Source organism: Homo sapiens, chromosome 12, assembly GCF_000001405.40.
Source record: "Homo sapiens chromosome 12, GRCh38.p14 Primary Assembly".
In the NCBI taxonomy this organism is placed as follows: Eukaryota; Metazoa; Chordata; class Mammalia; order Primates; family Hominidae; genus Homo; species Homo sapiens.
Genome location: NC_000012.12, coordinates 93,394,992 through 93,417,395, shown reverse-complemented (window position 1 = coordinate 93,417,395; position 22,404 = coordinate 93,394,992). Strand labels below are relative to the sequence as shown.

The following is a 22,404-nucleotide window of genomic DNA, read 5'->3' as shown; positions in this document are numbered from 1 at the left end:
CACAAATTATTTTTCAACTTAAAAATAAGAGTCCTGGTTAATAGAGATAGGTTGACAGAATGTCAGTTGTTATAATTGACTAACTACAGTATAGTTTACAGTAGTGTGAGTCTAGGGTTTGCTCTTCAAGACCCAGTAGATCTGTTGATAATTAGATCAATTTGATGTGATATTTGATTCCTTTTAAAAATATTTGTAGCATTAACTATTGTATGCGTTCTATAAGATGAGATACCTTCCTTTAGACTTAATTTTGTGGACATTTAAATCCATACCCTATTCCTTTACCAACTTACCTGTCTATTTTAGTAACTAACTTCCTGAACATAGTCTACATTAACTAATTTCCTGAACATAGTCTACAGTGCTTTCTATTATGCATGGCCCTAAACTCACTTCTGTTTGGGATTCAATCCTTGGACTGCTTTTAAACATAATAGAATCACAAAATTCATTTAAGGGTTATTCTGTTTTTCTGTAAACAACTATGGCCTTCCTATGTGATCTCATTTGTCAACTTTTTTTTTTTTTTTTTTTTGGTAGTGATGGGGTCTCACTATGCTTGCCCAGCTTGGTCTGGAACTCCTAGCCTCAAGTGATTCCCCTGCCTGCCTCAGCCTCCCAAAGTGCAGGGATTACAGGTGTGAACCATGGCATCCCACCTGCAATGTAAATTATTTGTGCCAAAAGATAGATAAGGCCGGGCGTGGTGCCTCACGCTTACAATCCCAGCACTTTGGGAGGCTGAGGCGGGCAGATCACTTTAAGTCAGGAGTTCGAGACCTGCCTGGCTAACATGGTGAAACCCTGTCTCTGCTAAAAATACAAAAATTAGCCAGGTGCTCACTTGGACCCAGGAGGCAGAGGTTGCAGTGAGCCAAGATCGTGCCACTGCACTGCAGCCTGGGCAAGAGAGCGAGACTTGTCTCAAAAAAAAAAAAAAAGATAGATAAGTGAAACAGTAGGAATTTTAGCCCTTTACTTCTTCACTTAAAGAAATCATACTGTACTCTGTCTTTCCACCAAAGAATAGTGTAAAACCAGAAGGTATTTTAGTTAGTCATGTGTTGAATAGTGGCCGGAAAGATTTTATTTCCTAGCCAGTTTTTGCCTTTTTAGGAAAAAAGTTGACATCAGTTTCTGTGGTTGAGACTTTTTCAGATGCTGCCATTTCAGACTTGTTTCATTTAGTTTGGATTTTATTCCTTTTTTCCCCTCCCACAGTTTATGCTGTGGGTTTGTTAGGGAAACCAACAGTTTAGTGAAATAATTATGCATGTTTTTGTGTCAGTCCATTAGAACTTGAGAGCAGCATATATTATAAGGACTATTTCAAAATGTTTTCTACACACGAAAGCTTATTTTAGAATGTGTTCCAATTAAATCTAGGCTTGATCAGGTCACATGATGTGCTTAATATGTACATTCTTTACAAAGAATATCTGATTTTGAGGGTGAACTGAAGATGAGAAAGTAAATGCCATACCTATCTCTGCCACTGTGTATTGAGAGTGATTTTGAAGCTATTTTGGGATACGCTTTTGGAGGCCTTTCTGTAGCTTTTTATAGTAGATACAGAGCTGCTACTACTTTGTGTAACTGGTGAGTGGTGGATTGGGACTCTTGGGCCCTGGCTTTCTTTTTTTTCCAGTCACCCAATTTATGGCTTTCTAAAAACATGAAGACCTGGGGTAAAATTAAAGGATGGAGGTGAGGAGAGCCCAGAATTCAAGGAATTTTACCATCCAGTTATTTTCTCATTTTTCTACTCCTGCTATTCATCCCTAATATCTTAACTTTTTTCCTAAAAAATGAAGACCAGCCTCTTTTGTTCTGGTCACATGTTAAAGGACTTCCCAAGGTCAGAGGCTTCATTATTGCCTCTTGAGCTTTTTAATACTCTAAAAATGTTTTAGTTTGAACCTAAAGAACATGTCAGTTTCTCACTTGCTCTTACATCGCCATGATCAAAACAAAAAACTAGTCTTAAAATACCAGAGACATTACCTAAAATGGCCATGGGTTTAATTAACACATTTTGGGGAAGCATTTGATTTGTATTTACATCTTATGACTATTTCAGTATATTACTGTGCTGAGAGAGAAGTTATTTGTTGTTGTTGTTTTTAACGTATGCCCTGTAGCTTGTGGAATGAAACAGTTTATGATGTATTTTTTTTTAGGTGAAGGCAGTGTAAATAAAATGTTCTCATTTATTGTTTTTCATACCTAAAAGCTTATTTAAATATGAACATTTTTCTGGTTAAAAATAAATATAAGTAGAAGTTAGACTATTTTTCCCCATACCTGAGTGGCTCCTTTTGTTTTCCTTCCATAATGTGCACATCCTGCCTTGAAAATAACCCTGCCTTAATGATGTTAACGATGAAATTCTGATCGTTTATTTCCCTCTTTTCATAACATCAAATAGATTCAGAATTCAGTAAATATTAATTGAATATCTATTGTGCCAGGCAGTGTTCCAAATGCTGAGGATATAGCAGTCCATAAAATAGACTCAAATCCATCCTCTCATGGAGCTTAAATTCTGAACAAAATAAGTAGAAATGAGATTTGTTAGTAGTGCTGTGGAGATAAAGCCAGGGAGTGGGGATAGGGAGTGTGCAGGGTAGGGTTGAATGGGGTTTGCAATTTCAGTTATGATGGCTTCACTGAGAAAACATGAAGATCTTAGGAGCTGAGGGAGCAAGCCATATGGATATCTTGGGGAGGAAGAGGAAGTACAAAGCCCTTGAGGTGAGCGGATGCCTGGCACGTTGAAGAACTACAAGGAAGCTAATTTTTGTCTGGAACAGAGAAGGTTAGGGGATGGAGAGAGAACAGCTGAAGATAAGTCAGAGAGGTAGGTGGAGTGAGGGCATCATATAGAGCGTCTTTTGGGGGCCCATTACAAGGACTATGACTTTTTTTTTTTTTTTTTTTTTTTGAGACGGAGCTTCGCTCTTTTGCCTAGGCTGGAGAGCAATGGCATGATCGGGGCTCACCGCAACCTCCACCTCCGGGGTTCAAGCGATTCTCCTGCCTCAGCCTCCCAAGTAGCTGGGATTACAGGCATGCGCCACCATGCCTAGCTAATTTTATATTTTTAGTAGAGGTGGGATTTCTCCATGTTGATCAGGCTGGTCTCGAACTCCTGACCTGAGCCGATCCACCCGCCTCGGCCTCCCAAAATGCTGGGATTACAGGTGTGAGCCACCATGCCCAGACTTTTTTTGAGATGGAGTCTCGCCCTGTCACCCAGGCTGGAGTGCAATGGCACGATCTCAGCTCACTGCAACCTCCGCCTCCTGGCTTCAAATGATTCTCCTGCCTCAGCCTCCCGAGTAGCTGGGATTACAGGCACGTGCCACCATGCCCGGCTGATTTTGTATTTTTAGTAGAGATGGGATTTCTCCATGTTGATCAGGCTGGTCTCGAACTCCTGACCTGAGGTGATCCACCCGCCTCGGCCTCCCAAAGTGCTGGGATTACAGGCGTGAGCCACCGCACCCGGCTCAGGACTATGACTTTTAAAGGGTCTGTGGATAATAGACCTGCGAGGGAGGTAGTGAGGTCAGAAGCAGGAAGAACAGGTTAGGAGGCTGTTGTAGTATGCCAGGTCAGAGCTGATGGTTGCTTGGATCAGAGGTGTAGCAGTGGAATGGTGAGAAACAGTCCAATCATGAGTAGAATTTGAAGTATAAAAAAAACCAATTTGCCAATCAGGCTAGATGTGTGTGGCATATGAAGGAAAAGGTGGATCATTTGGAAAGATGGGTTTGCCAGTAACTGATGTGGGGAAGACTTTATGGGAGGAGCAAAGGTTGGGGATAGGGAGGTCATGTTAAGTTTGGGATGCTTATTAGACATTCAAGAGTGTATATCAAGCAGGTAGTTATAGAGGCAAGAGGCACGATGAGGGGAGAGGTCTGGGCTAGATATGAATTAGGGGAGGCTTCAGCTTATAGAGTGTGTTTAGTATTTAAATTCATTGCATTACATGAGATCACTGTGGAAATGTATAAACAGAGAGGAAGCCCTAGAATAGAGCCCCAGTGCATTTCAGTGTTGCGATGTTGGGAGATAGAAGAAACCAACAAGGAAACTAAAGGAAGCTGCTGCCAGACAAGGAGGAAGAGAGCCATGAGAATGTTTATAGGAAGTTAGATAAAGCTTTGCAAAGAGGAAGGAGACCAGCTGGATAAGATGTCGCATTTAGGTAAGATAAAGATTAAGCACTGGACATTTGATTTAACCTTGTGGAAATCATTGGTGACCTTAACAAACAAGTTAGCGATAACTACAGCTTGATTGGAGGGTATGTTCAAGACAGAAGAGGAGGAGAGAAATTGGAGACAAGCAAAGTAGAGGTTCCTCTTCAAAGACTTTCCTCCCCATCTAATTAGGAATAAATAGTAACTTCTCTTAGAAGCAAAATTTATTCGAAGACCTGTGCAAACATTCTTAAATATTTGCTAGCCATAATAAAGAAATCAATATACTTTATGTTCTTAGCTCCCACAATTTAGCCTAAATATTTGCCCTGGCATGCTTATACTGGTCCAAGCAAGCATTAGGTCATAGCCTGTTCCTCTTCCTTATTTAAAAGTGTTTTTACCTTTCTCAGCATTCCACAAGTTACTTCCTCCTTCCTTTGTTCCCCTCTACCTTTACCTCTTTTAAAAAGTTCTAAGTTGCTAGCCAGTCAGGACAAATACAGAATGTGAGATCCCGTTCCAGCCAGTGGAAACCGGACACAGCAGTAGGGTGGACGCGTCAGGTTATAAATGACCCTGTCTCCTTTGTTCAGTATACTCTTGTGGCAAAACTCCTGGCGAGTGTACCCTTTCTGCAGGAAGTAAAAATGGCTTTACTAAATAAATTAAATTTATGTTCAAGTGCTATTTCTTTATGGTACCGAAGAACAAACATTTCAGAGATCAGTAAGATCTAGTGCTCAAGACCGATTGGCCCTAGCCAAGAGTACGTGACATTTCATCTATACAGGAGAAAAACCAGAGTGTATGGGTGCAGATGCAGGGAAATGTCCAAATGCTACAGTGGGAACTGATGGAAGTATCTAACTTGTCATGAAATAGGAAGCAGGACATCAGCCACAAGTGAGGATGGGGATGGAGATGCTGGAGGTTTGAAGAGAGAAGAGAAATAATAATAATACAATTATTTAGGGGAGAGGGAGAATGATGAAAAAGAGAACTAATGGTATGATTGTTGGGAGTATTAAGGGTTCCTCTGAAGTTAATTGTCAATTTTAGAGTAATCAGCATTGTTAAATATATTTCTTTAGTCCTGTTCAGGTACCTGGGCCTCTTCTTATCTCCTTTCTTTAGTCCGTTACATTTTTCAGAGGGGAGGTTTTCAGTGGGTTTAAAAACTAATTTTTGGCCGAGTGTGTTGGCCCATACCTGTAATCTCAGCACTTTGGGAAGCCAAGGCGAGCAAATCACTTGAGGCCAGGAGTTCAAGACCAGCCTGGCCAACAGGGTGATACCGTCTCTACTAAAAATACAAAAATTAGCTAGGTGTGGTGGCGCACACCTGTAATCCCAGCTACTCAGGAGGCCGAGTTGGGAGGATCACCTGGGCCCAGGGAGGTCGAGGCTGCAGTGAGCCAAGATCTTGCCACTGCACTCCAGCGTGAGTGACAAAGTGAGATCTTGTCTCAAAAACAAACAAACAAGCCAAAAAAAACCACCAAAAAAGCTAATTTTACTTTTTAAATAGCTTGGTTTTGGTTGAGTTTAGAGCAAGTTGCCTTACTTATGTAATCCTAATGTTACTTTATTTTACTTGAGTAAAAAATCAGTTTTATTAAGCTAATTTTATTAACATATTTGTAGACATTTGTAGCCAAAATGTATGATAACATCATTAGTATTCGCTTGCAGTTTCATTCAGCTGGTTGTAATTATTTAAATGGTATTTTTTTGAATTTTGCATTTTATAAGCTAAATCTGTTGGGAGATTGGAGCTGTTCTATTATGCGTAGTTCTAAGAGATGAACTTTCTAATTTTACTTTTGGTGTCTAGCAAAATGACATTTGTTTCACAAATGTGTTTGTTTTTCTGTCATAGGAAACCCAGCGTTTGCTGGCAGAACCAGTTCCTGGCATCAAAGCCGAACCAGATGAGAGCAACGCCCGTTATTTTCATGTGGTCATTGCTGGCCCTCAGGATTCCCCCTTTGAGGGAGGGACTTTTAAACTTGAACTATTCCTTCCAGAAGAATACCCAATGGCAGCCCCTAAAGTACGTTTCATGACCAAAATTTATCATCCTAATGTAGACAAGTTGGGAAGAATATGTTTAGATATTTTGAAAGGTAAGTGTTATCTTTATCAGCATATGCTATTATTAAGCTTTCTCCTTTTTCTCTTAAGCATTCCATGTTTAGAATGTAAACATTATACAAAGATCAGAGAGGTCTGTGGGAGGGAAGTGAAGCAGTTCTGGGCCTGTTTTTTTCATGCTTTATCATACTGGGCCTGTTGCCTTCATAGATAAGTGGTCCCCAGCACTGCAGATCCGCACAGTTCTGCTATCGATCCAGGCCTTGTTAAGTGCTCCCAATCCAGATGATCCATTAGCAAATGATGTAGCGGAGCAGTGGAAGACCAACGAAGCCCAAGCCATAGAAACAGGTATCTAATATTCATTCTCCTTCACACCACTTCCACTTTTACAAATTTGTATTACCACTTAAACTTTTCTAAAGCTCTTGGCAAGGAAAAGAAATAGAAAAAAGTATAATAAGTGAGATCCTGCTTATAGTATGTAAATACGTCTTAACAAAATGGCTTGCTATGGGACCCCCCAAATATAAAGACAACCTGTAATTGAAAGATCTTGGAGTCTCTTGTAACTACACCTGGTTTAACAAATACTGAGTGCATACCATTTATCTAGTTATATGTAAAGAATACTGGAAAACTTGAACTGTTTTTGTAACCCATTTGATTAAAGTATTCAGCTGTTTATGGCTACGGAATTTGGAGTCAAGAAGCTTCTGCTACAGATTTTAAGAAAATTAGTGGGGAGAATTGTGTATCTAGAAATGGACAACTTGATTCATCCTCTTGAATTTTCTAGAACTTCTTAATTTTATTGTAGTGTTTTGGTAATTGGACATTTACAAAATCTTTCAGCCCTGATCCAATTTATAGAAAAAGGCGTGAATTTAACAGATTACAGCATGACATTTCCATAATTAATAGTGGTTGTTTGCCATTTATAGTTTGGAAAGTAACATATTGAACTAAGTAAAATAATAATCGTATGTTTGTTTCTGTCTACAGCTAGAGCATGGACTAGGCTATATGCCATGAATAATATTTAAATTGATACGATCATCAAGTGTGCATCACTTCTCCTGTTCTGCCAAGACTTCCTCCTCTTTGTTTGCATTTAATGGACACAGTCTTAGAAACATTACAGAATAAAAAAGCCCAGACATCTTCAGTCCTTTGGTGATTAAATGCACATTAGCAAATCTATGTCTTGTCCTGATTCACTGTCATAAAGCATGAGCAGAGGCTAGAAGTATCATCTGGATTGTTGTGAAACGTTTAAAAGCAGTGGCCCCTCCCTGCTTTTATTCATTTCCCCCATCCTGGTTTAAGTATAAAGCACTGTGAATGAAGGTAGTTGTCAGGTTAGCTGCAGGGGTGTGGGTGTTTTTATTTTATTTTATTTTATTTTATTTTTGAGGGGGGAGGTAGTTTAATTTTATGGGCTCCTTTCCCCCTTTTTTGGTGATCTAATTGCATTGGTTAAAAGCAGCTAACCAGGTCTTTAGAATATGCTCTAGCCAAGTCTAACTTTATTTAGACGCTGTAGATGGACAAGCTTGATTGTTGGAACCAAAATGGGAACATTAAACAAACATCACAGCCCTCACTAATAACATTGCTGTCAAGTGTAGATTCCCCCCTTCAAAAAAAGCTTGTGACCATTTTGTATGGCTTGTCTGGAAACTTCTGTAAATCTTATGTTTTAGTAAAATATTTTTTGTTATTCTACTTTGCCTTTGTACAGTTTATTTTACTGTGTTTATTTCATTTTCCCAATTTGACAATCGTATTTTAAAATTGAAACTGATGGAACATTCTTTCTTGGTCTTCACCATCTGACAAATTGAATGGCAAGAGGTGGATTTTGCCAGTTTCTTTTCACTGATGCAGATTTGTGTTAAGATAGTACTGAATGGAGTATTTATAAACTGGCCCTGAGCATGCATAAAGCATCAGTATCTGACCTTTTTTTAACCTTCTAGGAATTTGAAATAAATGTGTTTGTGTTGTCTGATTAGATGATCATTGGTGTCTTGCCACAATGTTTAAAAATTACTGTACAGGAAAGTCACAGCAAAGATAGCAGTTGTGACTGACATGTAGGACTTTCACAGTTGTGCCACATTTTTGCCTAAAATTTGGGTTATGACATTTTTCTTGGTTCTTATCTGAAAATTTCATCTGTAACCTTTCATGTGTGTTAAGAAACACTGATCTGATCATTTGGGATTTGCTGAGGCATTTGTGAGTCTTCCTTATAAACCTGATGAGCAGATCTCAACTATCTAGCTTGTGTGTCATCAGAAAGGTTTATCCCTTTGAGAGTATCAAGTCCTCAGTTAATGATTCTTGCTTTCATCCCTCCAGTATTTGCTGTGGGAGCTCGTTTTATTCTTTAATTTGGAATTCAGTAATTTTTCTTCTTTATTGACGAATTCCTCCCCTCACAAAACTGTTCTTTCCCACCTCTCTCCATATCTAATTCCTGATTCTTGTTATTTTTAAGTCATAAATGTAGCCAGTCATAAATACATAAATGTTAACCTTCGGGTTGCAACCTTGTCTCTTGCAGTTTAAGGTAATGGATATTGTAGCCCATTTGAATTTTCTTCACTCTTATTCTCGTAATTCTGGAGTTTCTTCAGATTGTGGTGTATTTTATTGTGCTCCTATGTAAGATGAAGAATTAACTATTAAAATTACATTTTCAACATACAAAAGCTTTTGATGACTGGTAACTGGTATCCTTCCAAATAAATGCATTGCTTGGTAACAAATGTTAGCTTAATTCAGAATGAAATAGTTAACAACCCTAATATTGTAAAATTTGAAAACTGATAGCAGCTGTCATTTATAACAATTCTTGGGCTGTTTAAAGGGTACATTTGACTATAGCTAAGGAAATTGAATCTCACTTTAAAAATGAACCACACAAAACTTCAAGAAACGAAATAGAAATCAACATTTACTGCCCGTAATATTGCTCATGGTTATAGCTAGTATCACATAGTGATTTACAAACCATGAAATTCCAGATTTAAATCTGTTGCACTACAAAAATGTCTAAATGATGTCTGCTAAATTTGTGAGTTATAGAAGTACAGAAATAAGTCATTTTCATTTCAAATGCAGTGAATTTCTAATTTCATGGTATCATATTTTTTTCCTTTGCAGTTTTGGTAAGACTCCCCCATTACTTTGCTAAGACTTGCTTTCTCAACCAGTGGGATGAAACGAGTGCCAGTGTGTTGACTGAGCCTTCTTAGGACTTAAGGGGCTCTGGGAGAGGCCAAGGCAGCAGTTGAAAACTGCAGCTTCACCTGGCCTTTGGGCCTGTTTTCCCTGGCCCACACAGTGTGGCTGGTTAAAACATTCTGAATTTGATGCCAACATTTTTAAAAATTGGGAGATTTGCATGAAAATCCAGAATTCGGGTAACTTTTGAATGATCTGAAGATCTGGCAACAGTAGACCTGACCCACCTTTGTGCACGGGACTTAACTGAGAGGATCTGAGTAGCAGACACCCTAAGAGCATGTCATTGTCTTCTCACCAGTTACTCTCCAGTTGGCTAGAGTCCCCTCCGAGCACACCTGCTAGTCCTTCCCCCTTGTAAGCCTTTGACTTTGTAATCCCTGGGCTAAAGGAAACACATTATTCAACAAAAGTGTTTCATGTTTGCCCACTAGTTGTTGGGGATGATTAGGTGGTGAGTGAATGGCATGGGGCTTTCCTTTGGGGACCATATACTCTAATGGGGAAGGGGGACAGACAAATAGTTGTAACTCTGTCATGGAAAAGAGAAGTAACTTGGACAGACTTTTGGATTCAGGCCAGATGAACATCTCCAGGCAGAGGGAACAGCAGCATCTGCAAAGTCCTGGGAGAGAAGAAAAGAATCTGAACATTAAGTGGCTTCCTGAAAATCGACTGCCCAGGCCGGGCACAGTGGCTCATGCCTGTAATCCCAGCACTTTAGGAGGCCAAGGCAGGAGGATCACTTGAGTCCAGGAGTTTGTGACCAGCCTGGCTAACATAGTGGGACCCAGTCTTTATTTAAAAGAAAATTGCCCGTTAAGAGGCTTTTCTAAAATCTTGAGGTGTTGATAGGAGCTTTATGTTTTTTGACTTGATTGTTGTAGTCTACTTCGCTGCGATTTGCTTCTGCTCTAGTTATCCTTCATCCTCTCAAAGGCTGTCTAGCAAGATCTTAGGTCTAAAGTAAAGTCATCTCTTGGTATTTGTCGGGAACTGGTTCTAGGACTTCCTTTGGATATCCAAATTCGCAGATGCTCAAGTCTCTGGAATAAAATGATGTTGTATATGCATACAATCTACACAAATCCTCCCGCTTATGTTAATATTTAGATTACTTATAATACCTATTATAATGTAAGTGCTATGTAAATAGTTACACTATTGTTTAAGGAATAATGACAAAAATATACATGTTGACTACAGACACAATGTTTTTTGGAATATTTTGTCTGGTTGTTTGAATCCACGGAAGTGGAACCCATGGATATGGAGGGCCAACTATATAGAACCTTACTCTAGACCAAGAATGTACTTGTAAAACAATTTCAAAGAAGCACTTAAAAATAAGATTAAATACAAACCAACAGATAAAAGTCACAGGTGCTATGGTTGTTTGATGGAGAATGGGGAAGGAAATCTGTCCTAAAAGACATTATAAACACAGTGACCTAAGTGGAACTAAATTGGATCGAGGAAATGATAGGAATAGGCCTCATTTTTCTGTTGAATGGTTCAGGAACCTTTTTTTTTTTTTTTTTTTTTTTTTTTTTTGGCTGCTCTAGCCACTTTCTAGCTCTGTAGTTTAGGCTGGAGTGCTGTGGCATGATCTTGGCTCACTGCAGGTTCTGCCTCCCGCGTTCAAGCGATTCTCCTGCCTCAGCCTCCTGAGGAGCTGGGACTACAGACACCTGCCACCACACCTGGCTAATTTTTTGTATTTTTAGTAGAGACGGGGTTTCACCATGTTGGGCCAGGATGGTCTCCATCTCCTGACCTCGTGATCTGCCCGCCTCGGCCTCCCAAAGTGCTGGGATTACAGGCGTGAGCCACCGTGCCCAGCCCTGCCACATCTTTTTTGTTAGTTGCAGTAGCAATACAACCTTATCTAGAAAAGCTGGCCAAAAAAGAAAATACCATGATAATAGGGTACCTAATTTATTGCTTTATTTAAGAAAAATGTAATATTTCATTCGAATAAGTACTTTTGGGCTGGGATGATATTTCATTTAGCTACTTGGCATGCCACCCATCTTAGGGAATTATATGAGGGTTTATACTTTAAATAACATAAAAAGCAAAACATGCTGAATGTAATAATTTGAGAGAAGTGTAAATAATAAAAATCTGTCATCTACCACCTGGACTAGTAATATATTGTTTGTTTTCTTAACTATACACTCACCCCTGCACTCATCTCCATTTTATCGTGGAAGTCAGGTATATTCCAAGAGTTGGCTTTATGGTACTAACTTGCCATTAGCTGCCATGCTGGGAGCTGGACTAAAATTTTTCCTCTTGTGTGGAATCCAATATTAAGAGTTCGGGTCTCCCCGGCCCTCTCCCAGTTTCATCTTGTCACCCTTGAGCTGATCTCATTTCATGTGTCTTGTATGGCCCTGCTGGGTGGCACTGGTAAGTGTATGAACATAGACTTGATACCAACCTCTGTCTCTACTACTGAATTGATCACATGATTTTTCTTTCTCAGTTTTATTTTTAAAGACTCCTGATCCATCTTACCATATGACTGCTTTTGAAATAGTTCCATGATGTAGATTAGTAAATATCGATAGTTCTTAAGTTTTATTATAACCTAGTAAGTTTACAAAGTCTCCTGGCTTAAGGTCGGGAGTAGATATCAGATCTGGCAAAAGCAGCTTAGATGTGATAGGCTGATTGCACTAGATTGAACTTGGTGCTGTTTCTCTTAGGTTTTAACAGGACACATCAGGACTGAGCAACCAAGTAAGTCCAAGTTATTACAATTCATGTTGTTTTTTTCTCCTAAAACAGTAAATATTTCGGCCTTTGTGGACCATAGGTCTGTCTCAACTACTGAATTCTGCCATTGTAGTGAGAAAGCACCCACAGACGATTTGTAAACAAATGGGCATAGTATTTTTTTTAAAAAAAAAAAAACCTAAAACATTAAAAAAATTTTAAACTTGTTGGCCGTACAAACAGGCAGTGGGGTGGGGTTTGGCCTGTAGGTTGTAGTTCTCTGCCCTGCTCATGTCTATTTCCCAAAACATTTTTTAAACCATACAGGCGTTTAAAAACAAAATCTACAATCTGTACAACCTCATTTTAAGTGACTAAGCTTTTTCAGTGTATGCCAATACATGCATAAAACAGGTAGTTCTGTCTAGTAGTGTTCTGCCTTTTTCAATCACTATTGAAAGGACTCCCTGTGGCAGCACATAGCTCTTTGGTAACCACAAAGTATCCAGTAAATAGATTGCCATGACTTAATCACATTTGAATATTAAATTGGTACCAGTTTCATAAATCCTACAACACACATATTTGACCATAGCTTGGTTGTGCAACTTGTCCATTTGTTGACTAGACTCCCAGGAGTGGAACTGTTGGGTGAAAGGGTATGTATGCAGCTGTGATAAAATACTACTCAGTAGCTCTCCGACAGGCTGTATCAGTTTCCACTCAGATCCTTACGCAAATGTCATTTCTAATGACTGTAATATTACACCATATGGATATATTGCAAGTTAACCATTACAAATCCTTTGCTGCTGAGCATTTTATTTTAATGGCTTTTCACTCTAGTGCCTTGTCTTGGTATATGTCTTTGTCCACATTCCCGTAGATACGTTGAATTCCTAGTATATTTACTTCGTCAATAGGCATGTTTCTTAAGGTTGATAAATAATGATGGCCAAATGAAAGTACTTCACTAACATGAATTTGAGGAAAAGTTGAGAAAAGCAGGAAAATTTACTTCCATTGTCTGATACTGATTAGCATCAGGAGAGTGGGAGTCTACATATTGGGAGATGTTTGTCAAATGTTACAAAAATGCATTAAGAGTAATACCGGGTTATCAGAATTTGCTGAAATCATATCAAGGTGGAAGAATTAGAGAATAGTTCCCTGGCTAGAAGACGTTGAACCTTTGAGTGTTTAGGTCTTTGCTATAATGTCTTGCTTGCTAAGATAGGCCTTAATGGCCCTCTCATCGTACTGCTAGAATTTAGCCAGTGGCACCAGTCAGGAAGGTATTAAAGTAGCACCAGCGATAGATTACTTTTCATCCTGACTTTTGTCCTAGAGCTCCATAAAATGTGCATTTGGTGGGGGAAATCACGTCTACAAATAAAATTGTATTGCTTTTGAAGATGGTATAAGTCTATAGATAAAAAAGCTGTAAAACCTTGAAAAATACTGAAGGATGTAAAAACACCAAGATAGGCCAGGTGCGGTGGTTCACGCCCATAATCCCAGCACTTAGGGAGGCCGAGGCAGGCGGATCACGAGGTCAGGAGTTTGAGACCAGCCTGGCCAATATGGTGAAACCCCGTCTCTACTAAAAATACAAAAAAATTAGCCGGGCGTGGTGGCAGGCGCCTGTGATCCCAGCTCCTCGGGAGGATGAGGCAGGAGAATCGCTTGAACCTGGCAGGCGGAGGTTACAGTAAGCTGAGATTGCACCACTGCACTCCAGCCTGGGCGACAGTGTGAGATGCTGTCTCAAAAAAACAAACAAAAAAGCCAAAACTACACCAAGATAAATCACTTATCTCTACCCCACTAGAATATAAGCTCTTTGAGATTAGAAAATTGTTTTGTGCTCTTATCACAAATACTAGGCATAAAGAAGATGCTTATTATTGAACAGCAAATGCTTAAAAAGACCTGCAGGCCAGACGAGGTGGCTCATGCCAATCATCCTAGCACTTTGAGAAGGCTGAGGCTGGAGGACTGCTTAAGCCTAGGAGTTTGAGACCAGCCTGGGCAACACAGCAAGACCCCATCTCTACCAAAAAAAAAAAAAAATTAAAGAGTCCTATAGAGAATTCTTATACTCCAATGTGAAGACAACATTGGAAAGGGCCAAGTTTCTCATGCCCTCCAACTAAGAAACCCCTAATAAAAAATGAAGTGACACTTGAACAGGACTTAAGGATTCTACAGTTGGTCTTTGGCAGCAGTATGTTTTAGGAAATGTAATGCGGCGGGTGGGGCGGTGACTTAGCCAGTTATGCTTTTAAATGGAACTGCAATAATAAAAGTGATACTAGTGCAGAAAGTATCTGTATTAGAATTCTAGAGTAAGTCAAGAGCTCACATTCATTAAAATAATGACACAACTCCACGGGGGTGGGGAGAACAGCAGTAAAGCAACCACATACTATACTATTAGACTGGCAACATTGAGACTGAAAATATCCATGAGGAGAATACTGACATCTTAGTGGTAAGCATTTCCTTTTAACCCGGTAATTCCAGTAGTAAGGATCATACAAATGTACCGCTAGGAAGAGGTAACGTATATGATCATCAATGGGAGAACAGTAAAGGTGTTACTGTGGAATTCCCGACAGGCTTTCACTTGGAGGGGGAATATTTGAACACAAGTTTAAACAACCCAGGGTAAGCACACAATGCACTATGCACTGAAAGGTATACGTTTCCGCTGGGTGTTTATACATTTCAAAGTTAAAAGCATACACCTTACCCAAAGTTTCAGAAACCTGGTTTGCAAATCTGAGTTCATGTGTGTGTGTTTTTGTTTTTTTTTTAAAGCCATGATCATTTTTTCCATTTTTATTTGATGTTTCCAAATATAAAAAAGTCAGGATTCTTACATCAATTATCTCAAATGAGACCATGCAAAGCAATTCAGTGTATACAACAATCATTTTTCCCCTTCAGTTCTGCTGCTTTATACAACAGTGTGATTGACAGAAAATTGGATGGCATGTGCCTGGTCAGAAAATGTCATCTGTTTACAAAATAACATCATGCAGCACAGTTTCTACTTTGTCTGCAAGTCAATTCACAAAAACTACTTATTTTCTGTTTTTTATTTGGGAGGCACATGGAACTGAAAAATTTAGCTGCCCAATTTTATTCAACTACCCCACCAAAAAAAAAAAAAAAAAATCACAAATGACAGTCCCAACACTCTGCAAATTTTGGAGGGTTGAGATAGTAGACACTATTTGTCATACTCAGCAGAGTTAACTATTTAACAGAAATAAATCTCCCTAGGGCCTTTCCTCTCATTTTGCTAGACTGGGTTCCAGGAGAATCGTGAAGAACCCCTCATGTAAAATTTGAAGTGTGAAAACTGTGTTGTTGCATTATGCAGATTTTTGCTAGTTGCATAGACTAAAGACGTTTTGCTAAATGGCACTGAAAATCCTTACCGAGTGTCACTATTCAGTCCAAGTGTTTCTGACCAAAGAAAATTATACAACAATATTTATAGGCTAACTTTAAAGAGATGGTTGACGTTAATACTGTACATATTTTACATGTCAAATACATAGTCCAAGAGTTTATAAAATAAATTCATGCATCATTACCTTATTACCTCTAAGAATATCATGTACAAGATGGGCACTCCCCCACCCCCCCAGTACTTATGACAGCATTTCAGGTGGAAGCAGTCTTATATACAAAAACAATCCAGTTTCTCTGCTATGTTAAGTATATAATTTAAGGAAATTTCAGAGATTACTGACCAAAAAAATCTTAGTCCATTGAAGATAGAAAGTGTCAATTTGTGGGATTTAAAATGTTTCCTTTATAAAAGAACACCCAGAATATGTAACCTCTGTACAAAGAAAAAAATATAAAAATTCTGGATGATCATGTTTGATCACACTACGTACTTGAAATGTTGCTGGTTAAAAGTTTTTCTGCTTTACTCATTCCTTTGACAGCATTAATTTGTGAACATTTATATTCAGTTCAGCTGTATTTATGGCACAAGATCTCATTTCCAAAATGGCACTAATTTTCCTTAAGTGTAACAGCACTCTATTTTTAGCAGTAATTATATTTTTAAAGGTTAATTTGTAGAACAAATGTTTTAACTATACTTTTTTTCTACTCTATACTCCCCAGTTACAATATTTACAAAGGGCTGAAGTCTATATAAAAAAATGATCTTTGGCTGGGCATGGTGGCTCATGCCTGTAATCCCAGCACTTTGGGAGGTCGAGGCAGGCGGATCACGAGGTTAGGAGTTTGAGACCAGCCTGACCAACATGAAGAAACCCTGTCTCTACTAAAAATACAAAATTAGCCAGGCATGGAGGCAGGCGCCTGTAATCCCAACTACTCGGGAGGCTGAGGCAGGAGAATCGCTTGAACCCGGGAGGCGGAGGTTGCGGTGAGTTGAGATTGTGCCATTGCACTCCAGCCTGGGTGACAAAGCGAGTCTCAAAAAAAAAAAAACATCTTTTACTTTCCCCCATCCCTCATTTTAGTCAAACTTCTCCCACCTCATTTCTGCCCTGGTTGGGGAAGTGCAAGAGTTTCAGATAAGGTACCTATGTGTTTTAGATGGGATTCTTGATTTTAAGTGAGTATAAAGTAAAAGATTTAATTCTTAGTTCAGGTATGTTCCAGTGCCTCGAAAGTTAGTTATGTGACAAATAGTACCTGTTGACAACCTAGAAAAGATGAGACATTCTAAGGTGCCCTAACAATCTTCAGTCTCTAACAGCTGAACAGGAAGGCCATTTCACTCAACTGTGATGCGATCATCACTGACTGGCATTTAGAATTAGATTTCAAGACTCCACTCCTGTGGGGGCCACTAAATAACTGAATACATTTTAAGAGCAATCTACACTGAGGGAAATAACGGTTCTAAGGTATTCTGCAAAGAAAGAGTATCGATAATGGGAACTGGCAACTGAGCATGCTAAATCAAATTCCATGAATACAGTTTTCATAAGATGTCTTTACTACATGCATTTTGCTAATATTTCCCTAAAATATTCACCAACTCTACAGAGTTATACTTTGTGTTAAGGTACTATTGAGTTATAAGGGAAATAGCCGTATCAGGTAGCTAGTGACATAATACCAGTTGTGAAAATTCAGACAAAATGAGTCGACAAATCCCCAAAAATGGCAAATTAAGCCCTGTGACAAAATAAGTTATTGGATCATACAGAAATAGCCCAAATCTGGAAATTTTGAATTAAAATTGTAATCCTGTAAAACAAGTTTTGGGGTGAATGGATTTCTTTAATACCAATAATATTTTTAATTCCCACCACAGATGGATTTGCTGAATATGCTAATGCTGTGAATGAGAAAACAATTTTGGGGTAGGTATACCCACAAGTAATCTGATGACAAAATAAACCACAGACTGATGTCAAATGGACAAAAAACTGAAAATATGCTGTGAGAAATAGACAACCAAAATAATATAGGGGGTTGTGGGGTGTGGCACAGTTAAGGCATCTAAACAAAAATTCCACATGGCTTTGGCTTATTAAAATATTTTACACTATTTTTTTAAAAAAAGATTTGAAAGCATCTGAAAAACATGCAAATTGTTTGAAAACCTTGCATGGCAAATTCAGACAGTTTGCAAGCGTCAATCAGATGTTTGACGAGGAAACGAAAGAAGCCTCTCCCCATGAGACTGCACATGGTGGGAGAGGCCTACCCAGTTCTCTCTATCTTACACTAGATGGCAACCCAGAGGTCTGTGCAGCGGTTACAAACAAGGCATTATTATCCGGAAGGGAAGGGACTGTAGAATTTCCATTGGCTGGGGAACAACCCAGCTTTAGCTTTTCCAGATACTCTGCATGTACAGGTTTATGACACTGGAGAACTTTGATAGCATCTTCTACTTTGAACCACTCTCTCTTCCTTCCTAGAGAAAAGAATGACATTGGTTACAAGACAGTCCATTTTAAAAAGTAAGCCATATAAGTAATGTCCACTTACTCCCCGATAAATGACTTAGACAACAATATGTTGGGGAATAATTAAGATGAATATGCATCTCTACATTTGAATTATCTTCCCTGCTCTAAATGAAAAGTGACCAAAAAAAAAAAAATCTAGGATGGAAACTGGACACAGGAATATAAGCAAAGAGTATTCAGATAACAAAAGGGAACTTACCTATATTAACAGAATCTTCCCAATCTTCTGTTAGAACAGAGTATTCAGATAACAAAAGGGAACTTACCAATATTAACAGAATCTTCCCAATCTTCTAATATTTCAGTGACTGTTAGAACATAAACATATGTTCTGTGCTTTCGGTCTTGGTTCTGCTTGAATATAAAAAGAAATGCATTTTAATCTACAGGAGCTAGCCATGGACACATTTTCCAAGGGAAAAAAATTAGTCTGGCATACTGCTGATTAGCATAGCGTATTTCCCAGCACAGGCAAGTATATTCAGTTGTACAGTCCAACACAAAAGTGACTTTATATAAGACAAAACATTTAAAAGTTAAACAGAAGACTAGAACTAGAGCTTCATCATTACTGGTGGTGAAATTGGCTCTCAATACTACTTTTTTTGTAGAAGTCTGGAGATGTTGCCCAGGCTGGTCCACTCCTGCCCTCAAGGGAACCTCCTGCTTTGGCCTTCCCAAAAACTGAGCTTACAGGTATGAGGACCCAGCCTCCAGTACTAAACTTTAAACACTTATTTCTATATATCTGATGTTCTTTTCTTTTTTTTTTTTTTTTTTTTTGAGACAGGGAGTCTCGCTTTGTTGCCCAGGAGTACAGTGGCGTGATCTCAGCTCCCCCACAATCTCTGCCTCCCAGGTTCAAGTGATTCTCCTGCCTCAGCCTCCCGAGTAGCTGGAATTACAGGTGCACGCCACCACGCCTGGCTAATTTTTGTATTTTTAGTACAGACGGGGTTTCACCATGTTGGTCAGGATGGTCTTAAACCCTGACCTCATGATCCACCCACCTCGGCCTCCCAAAGTGCTGGGATTACAGGTGTGAGCCACCTTACCTGGCCTATCTGATGTTATTTTCATAAAGAAAATCTTAAGAGTTGAATGCAATCTTATTAAAATAATAGACCTGCATTCCCATAGTTTTTATCCTATCCCCTCTTCCCTGGGGCTAATCCTGACAACCTTTCAATGACATGGAAAACTGCTTCCTTTAGGACCTTTGTAAGAGCAAACAGCACCAGTTCCTTTAAGCACTCCTCCTGCAGGCCTATCAAGGTGCACATAAAGAATAGCCCATGGCCTGGAGCAGAAGCTCACGTCTGTAATCCCAGTACTTTGGGAGGCCAAGGCGGGCAGATCACTTGAGGTCAGGAGTTCGAGCCCAGCCTGTCCAACATGGTGAAACCCCGTCTCTACTAAAAATACGAAAATATTAGCCGGGCGTGGTTGTATGCCTGTAATTCAGCTACTTGGGAGGCTGAAGTGAAGGATCGCTTGAGCCCAGGAGGCGGACGTGGCGATGAGCCCAGATCATGCCACTGCACTAAAGCCTGGATGACAGAATGATACCCCATCTAAAAAAAAAAAACATAAATTAAATAAAACAGGCAACTGAGCTTGTTTCTGGGTTAAAAATTAAACAAGTTGGCCTTCCTTCATCCTGATTAAAGTTAGCCTTCTTTGCCATAGTCCACGACTTTAGATAATTGTCCTGATTTTGGCCACAAACAACCTGAAAAATCTACTCAAAACAGTGGGTTTTTACAGCTGGGAAGGATTATCTTTTTATATCTGAGAAGGAATAAAAACAACAATAAATTAGAGGCAACTGTCAATTAACACATCATTCATTATTTTTAAGAATCAGTTGTTTTATTTCTATGTCTCACAAATCAGTACATTTATTATGCTATATTCACAAATTCACAAAAATCACTGGGATGAATGGGCAGGGCAATCCAATTTTCCCTTATATTTTCTAAGGGGAAAGGTATTTTTTGATTGACGTGTGCTGTTAAACAGTATTTGTAAAGCACTTAATACTGTTACCTTCCCATATTATTTAAGCTTTATTTATAATGTGAGACATTTTCTTCAAACACCTTGTCAGCATATTGACAAATGTGTTATTTGTAAAAACCTCAGTATGTTTTTCAGTTTAACCAGGAGATGGTGCTATTTAACTGGGTGAAGCAACTGCTGAATTCTGGAAAAGACTGAATTCTACTTGAACGACTTTTCTCTTTGTTTTTTGAGATGGAGTGCCGCTCTGCAACCTCCACCTCCCGGGTTCAAGCCATTCTGCCTCAGCCTCCCAAGTAGCTGGGACTACAGGCGTGCGTCACCATGCCCGGCTAATTTTTGTATTTTTAGTAGAGACAGGGTTTCACCATATTGGCCAAGCTGGTCTTGAATTCCTGACCTAGTGATCCTCCTGCCTTGGCCAACCCAAAGTTCTGGGATTACAGGCATGAGCCACCACGCCCGGCCAACTTTACTCTTAATTACTGTATTCCGGTAAAAGTCATCATCAATTCTACCAAGTGCTACAAAATCGGGATTTTTTCTGAATTCCTAAGGCTTAAAAATAAAATTTATATGGTTCTACTATAAAGGCTGTACTAACCTATAAACAGCACCCTGAAAAAAGGAAAGTGACCATGTTTCTGGTATACTGTGTATCTAGGTCTGAATCTTGGATGAAGATACATCTGGACCTCCTTTCTCCCTGGCTTCCAGAGACTGCCTATCACATTCAAATTCCCTCCCTGAAAATTCTATTCTGCCTTCAGTAATAAGAGAATATATGAAAGAGAATTCTATTCTTTTAGCATCTGTTCTATGTACCTGAGATTTATATCTTCGTACAATCCTTTAAGTCACTAGGTGTATCATATAATATTTGCTAAGGGCAATGGGGACATTTCCAGATAAAACACATGAGACCTAAGCTCTTAGGTCATACTAAAAATATTGTACCTCCTAAAAGATCTATACCCTAAACAGTCTACAGTGGATTAAGATAAACATTTCAGTATCAGCTCCACTGTATTTTCAAACAGAAGTAATCACTACCATAATAATGCTATATAAAAGTGATGGCAGCCGGGCACAGTGGCTCACGCCTGTAATCCCAGCACTTTGGGAGGCCGAGGTGGGCGGATCACTAGGTCAAGAGATGGAGACCATCCTGGCCAACATGGTGAAACCCCATCTCTATTAAAAATACAAAACTTAGCTGGGCGTGGTGGCGCGTGCCTGTAGTCCCAACTACTTGGGAGGACGAGGCAGGAGAATTGCTTGAATCTGGGAGGCAGAGGTTGTAGTAAGCCAAGATTGCACCACTGAACTCCAGCCTGGCGACAGAGCGAGACTCTGTCTTAAAAAAAATTAATTAAAAATAAATAAATAAAAGTGGTGGCATATGAAAAAGTGGCTTTTACTTCCCTCCCTACCTAATCCTGGACTGACTGCCTACTGCTAGTCTGAGAGAAATGTCTGGTTCAGGCTGCTGCCACATTATTTGGTTGGTTAGGAAGAAATCATTAATTCTATTATCAGCAAAGTGAAGATTACTTTTTAACTCACCTCAAATATGCCCAGAAGTCTGCCTAGTTTTCCTTTGACTCCAGCCTATTAAAAAAAGATGAAATATAAAATGTTTACCTTTTTATAACAAAATGTATATAAATACAAGTTACACTCTGGCTATTTACTTAAATCTAATTAAATACAATACCCCTCCCCATACCAACTCACTATCTTCCTGCTTCTGTGAAGTTTTTATTGTCATTTACTTCATCAGCGGCAAGGACTGATCAAAAATTAGTATTTCTGGCTGGGCGCTGTGGCTCATGTCTGTAATCCCAGCACTTTGGGAGGCCGAGGCAGAAGGATCACTTGAGGTCAGGAGTTCGAGACCAGCCTGGCCAACATGGTGAAACCCTGTCCCTACTAAAAATACAAAAATTAAGGCCAGGTGTAGTGGCTCACGCCTGTAATCCCAGCACTTTGGGAGGCTGAGGCTGGCGGATCACCTGAGGTCAGGGGTTTGAGACCAGTCTGGCCAACATGGTGAAACCCTGTCTCTACTAAAAATACAAAAATTAGCCAGACGCGGTGGCACGTGC

At 39.3% G+C, this 22,404-nt stretch overlaps 2 protein-coding genes across 10 annotated transcripts in view; one reads left to right on the top strand and one right to left on the bottom strand.

Annotated features, from left to right (window-relative positions):
* The window catches only part of UBE2N (ubiquitin conjugating enzyme E2 N), a 36,264-nt gene extending 24,552 nt beyond the window's left edge, over window positions 1–11,712 (top strand). Inside the window, exons 2-4 of the mRNA NM_003348.4 lie at window positions 6,097–6,343; window positions 6,522–6,662; window positions 7,317–11,712. Coding sequence (NP_003339.1) covers window positions 6,097–6,343; window positions 6,522–6,662; window positions 7,317–7,357 — 429 coding nt within the window. The 3' untranslated portion in view covers window positions 7,358–11,712. The remainder of the gene's footprint in view (window positions 1–6,096; window positions 6,344–6,521; window positions 6,663–7,316) is intronic.
* Window positions 9,250–22,404, bottom strand: part of NUDT4 (nudix hydrolase 4) — a 30,222-nt gene continuing 17,067 nt past the window's right edge. For 5 of the 9 annotated variants that reach the window (NM_199040.4, XM_047428136.1, NM_001301022.2 and 2 more), the window contains 3 exons: window positions 21,863–21,907; window positions 18,541–18,628; window positions 9,250–18,219 (listed from right to left, as the gene is read on the bottom strand). In NM_199040.4, coding sequence (NP_950241.1) covers window positions 18,017–18,219; window positions 18,541–18,628; window positions 21,863–21,907 — 336 coding nt within the window. In that variant the 3' untranslated portion in view covers window positions 9,250–18,016. The remainder of the gene's footprint in view (window positions 18,220–18,540; window positions 18,629–21,862; window positions 21,908–22,404) is intronic. The other 4 variants (NM_019094.6, NM_001301023.2, NM_001301024.2 and 1 more) reach the window with 1 other exon arrangement.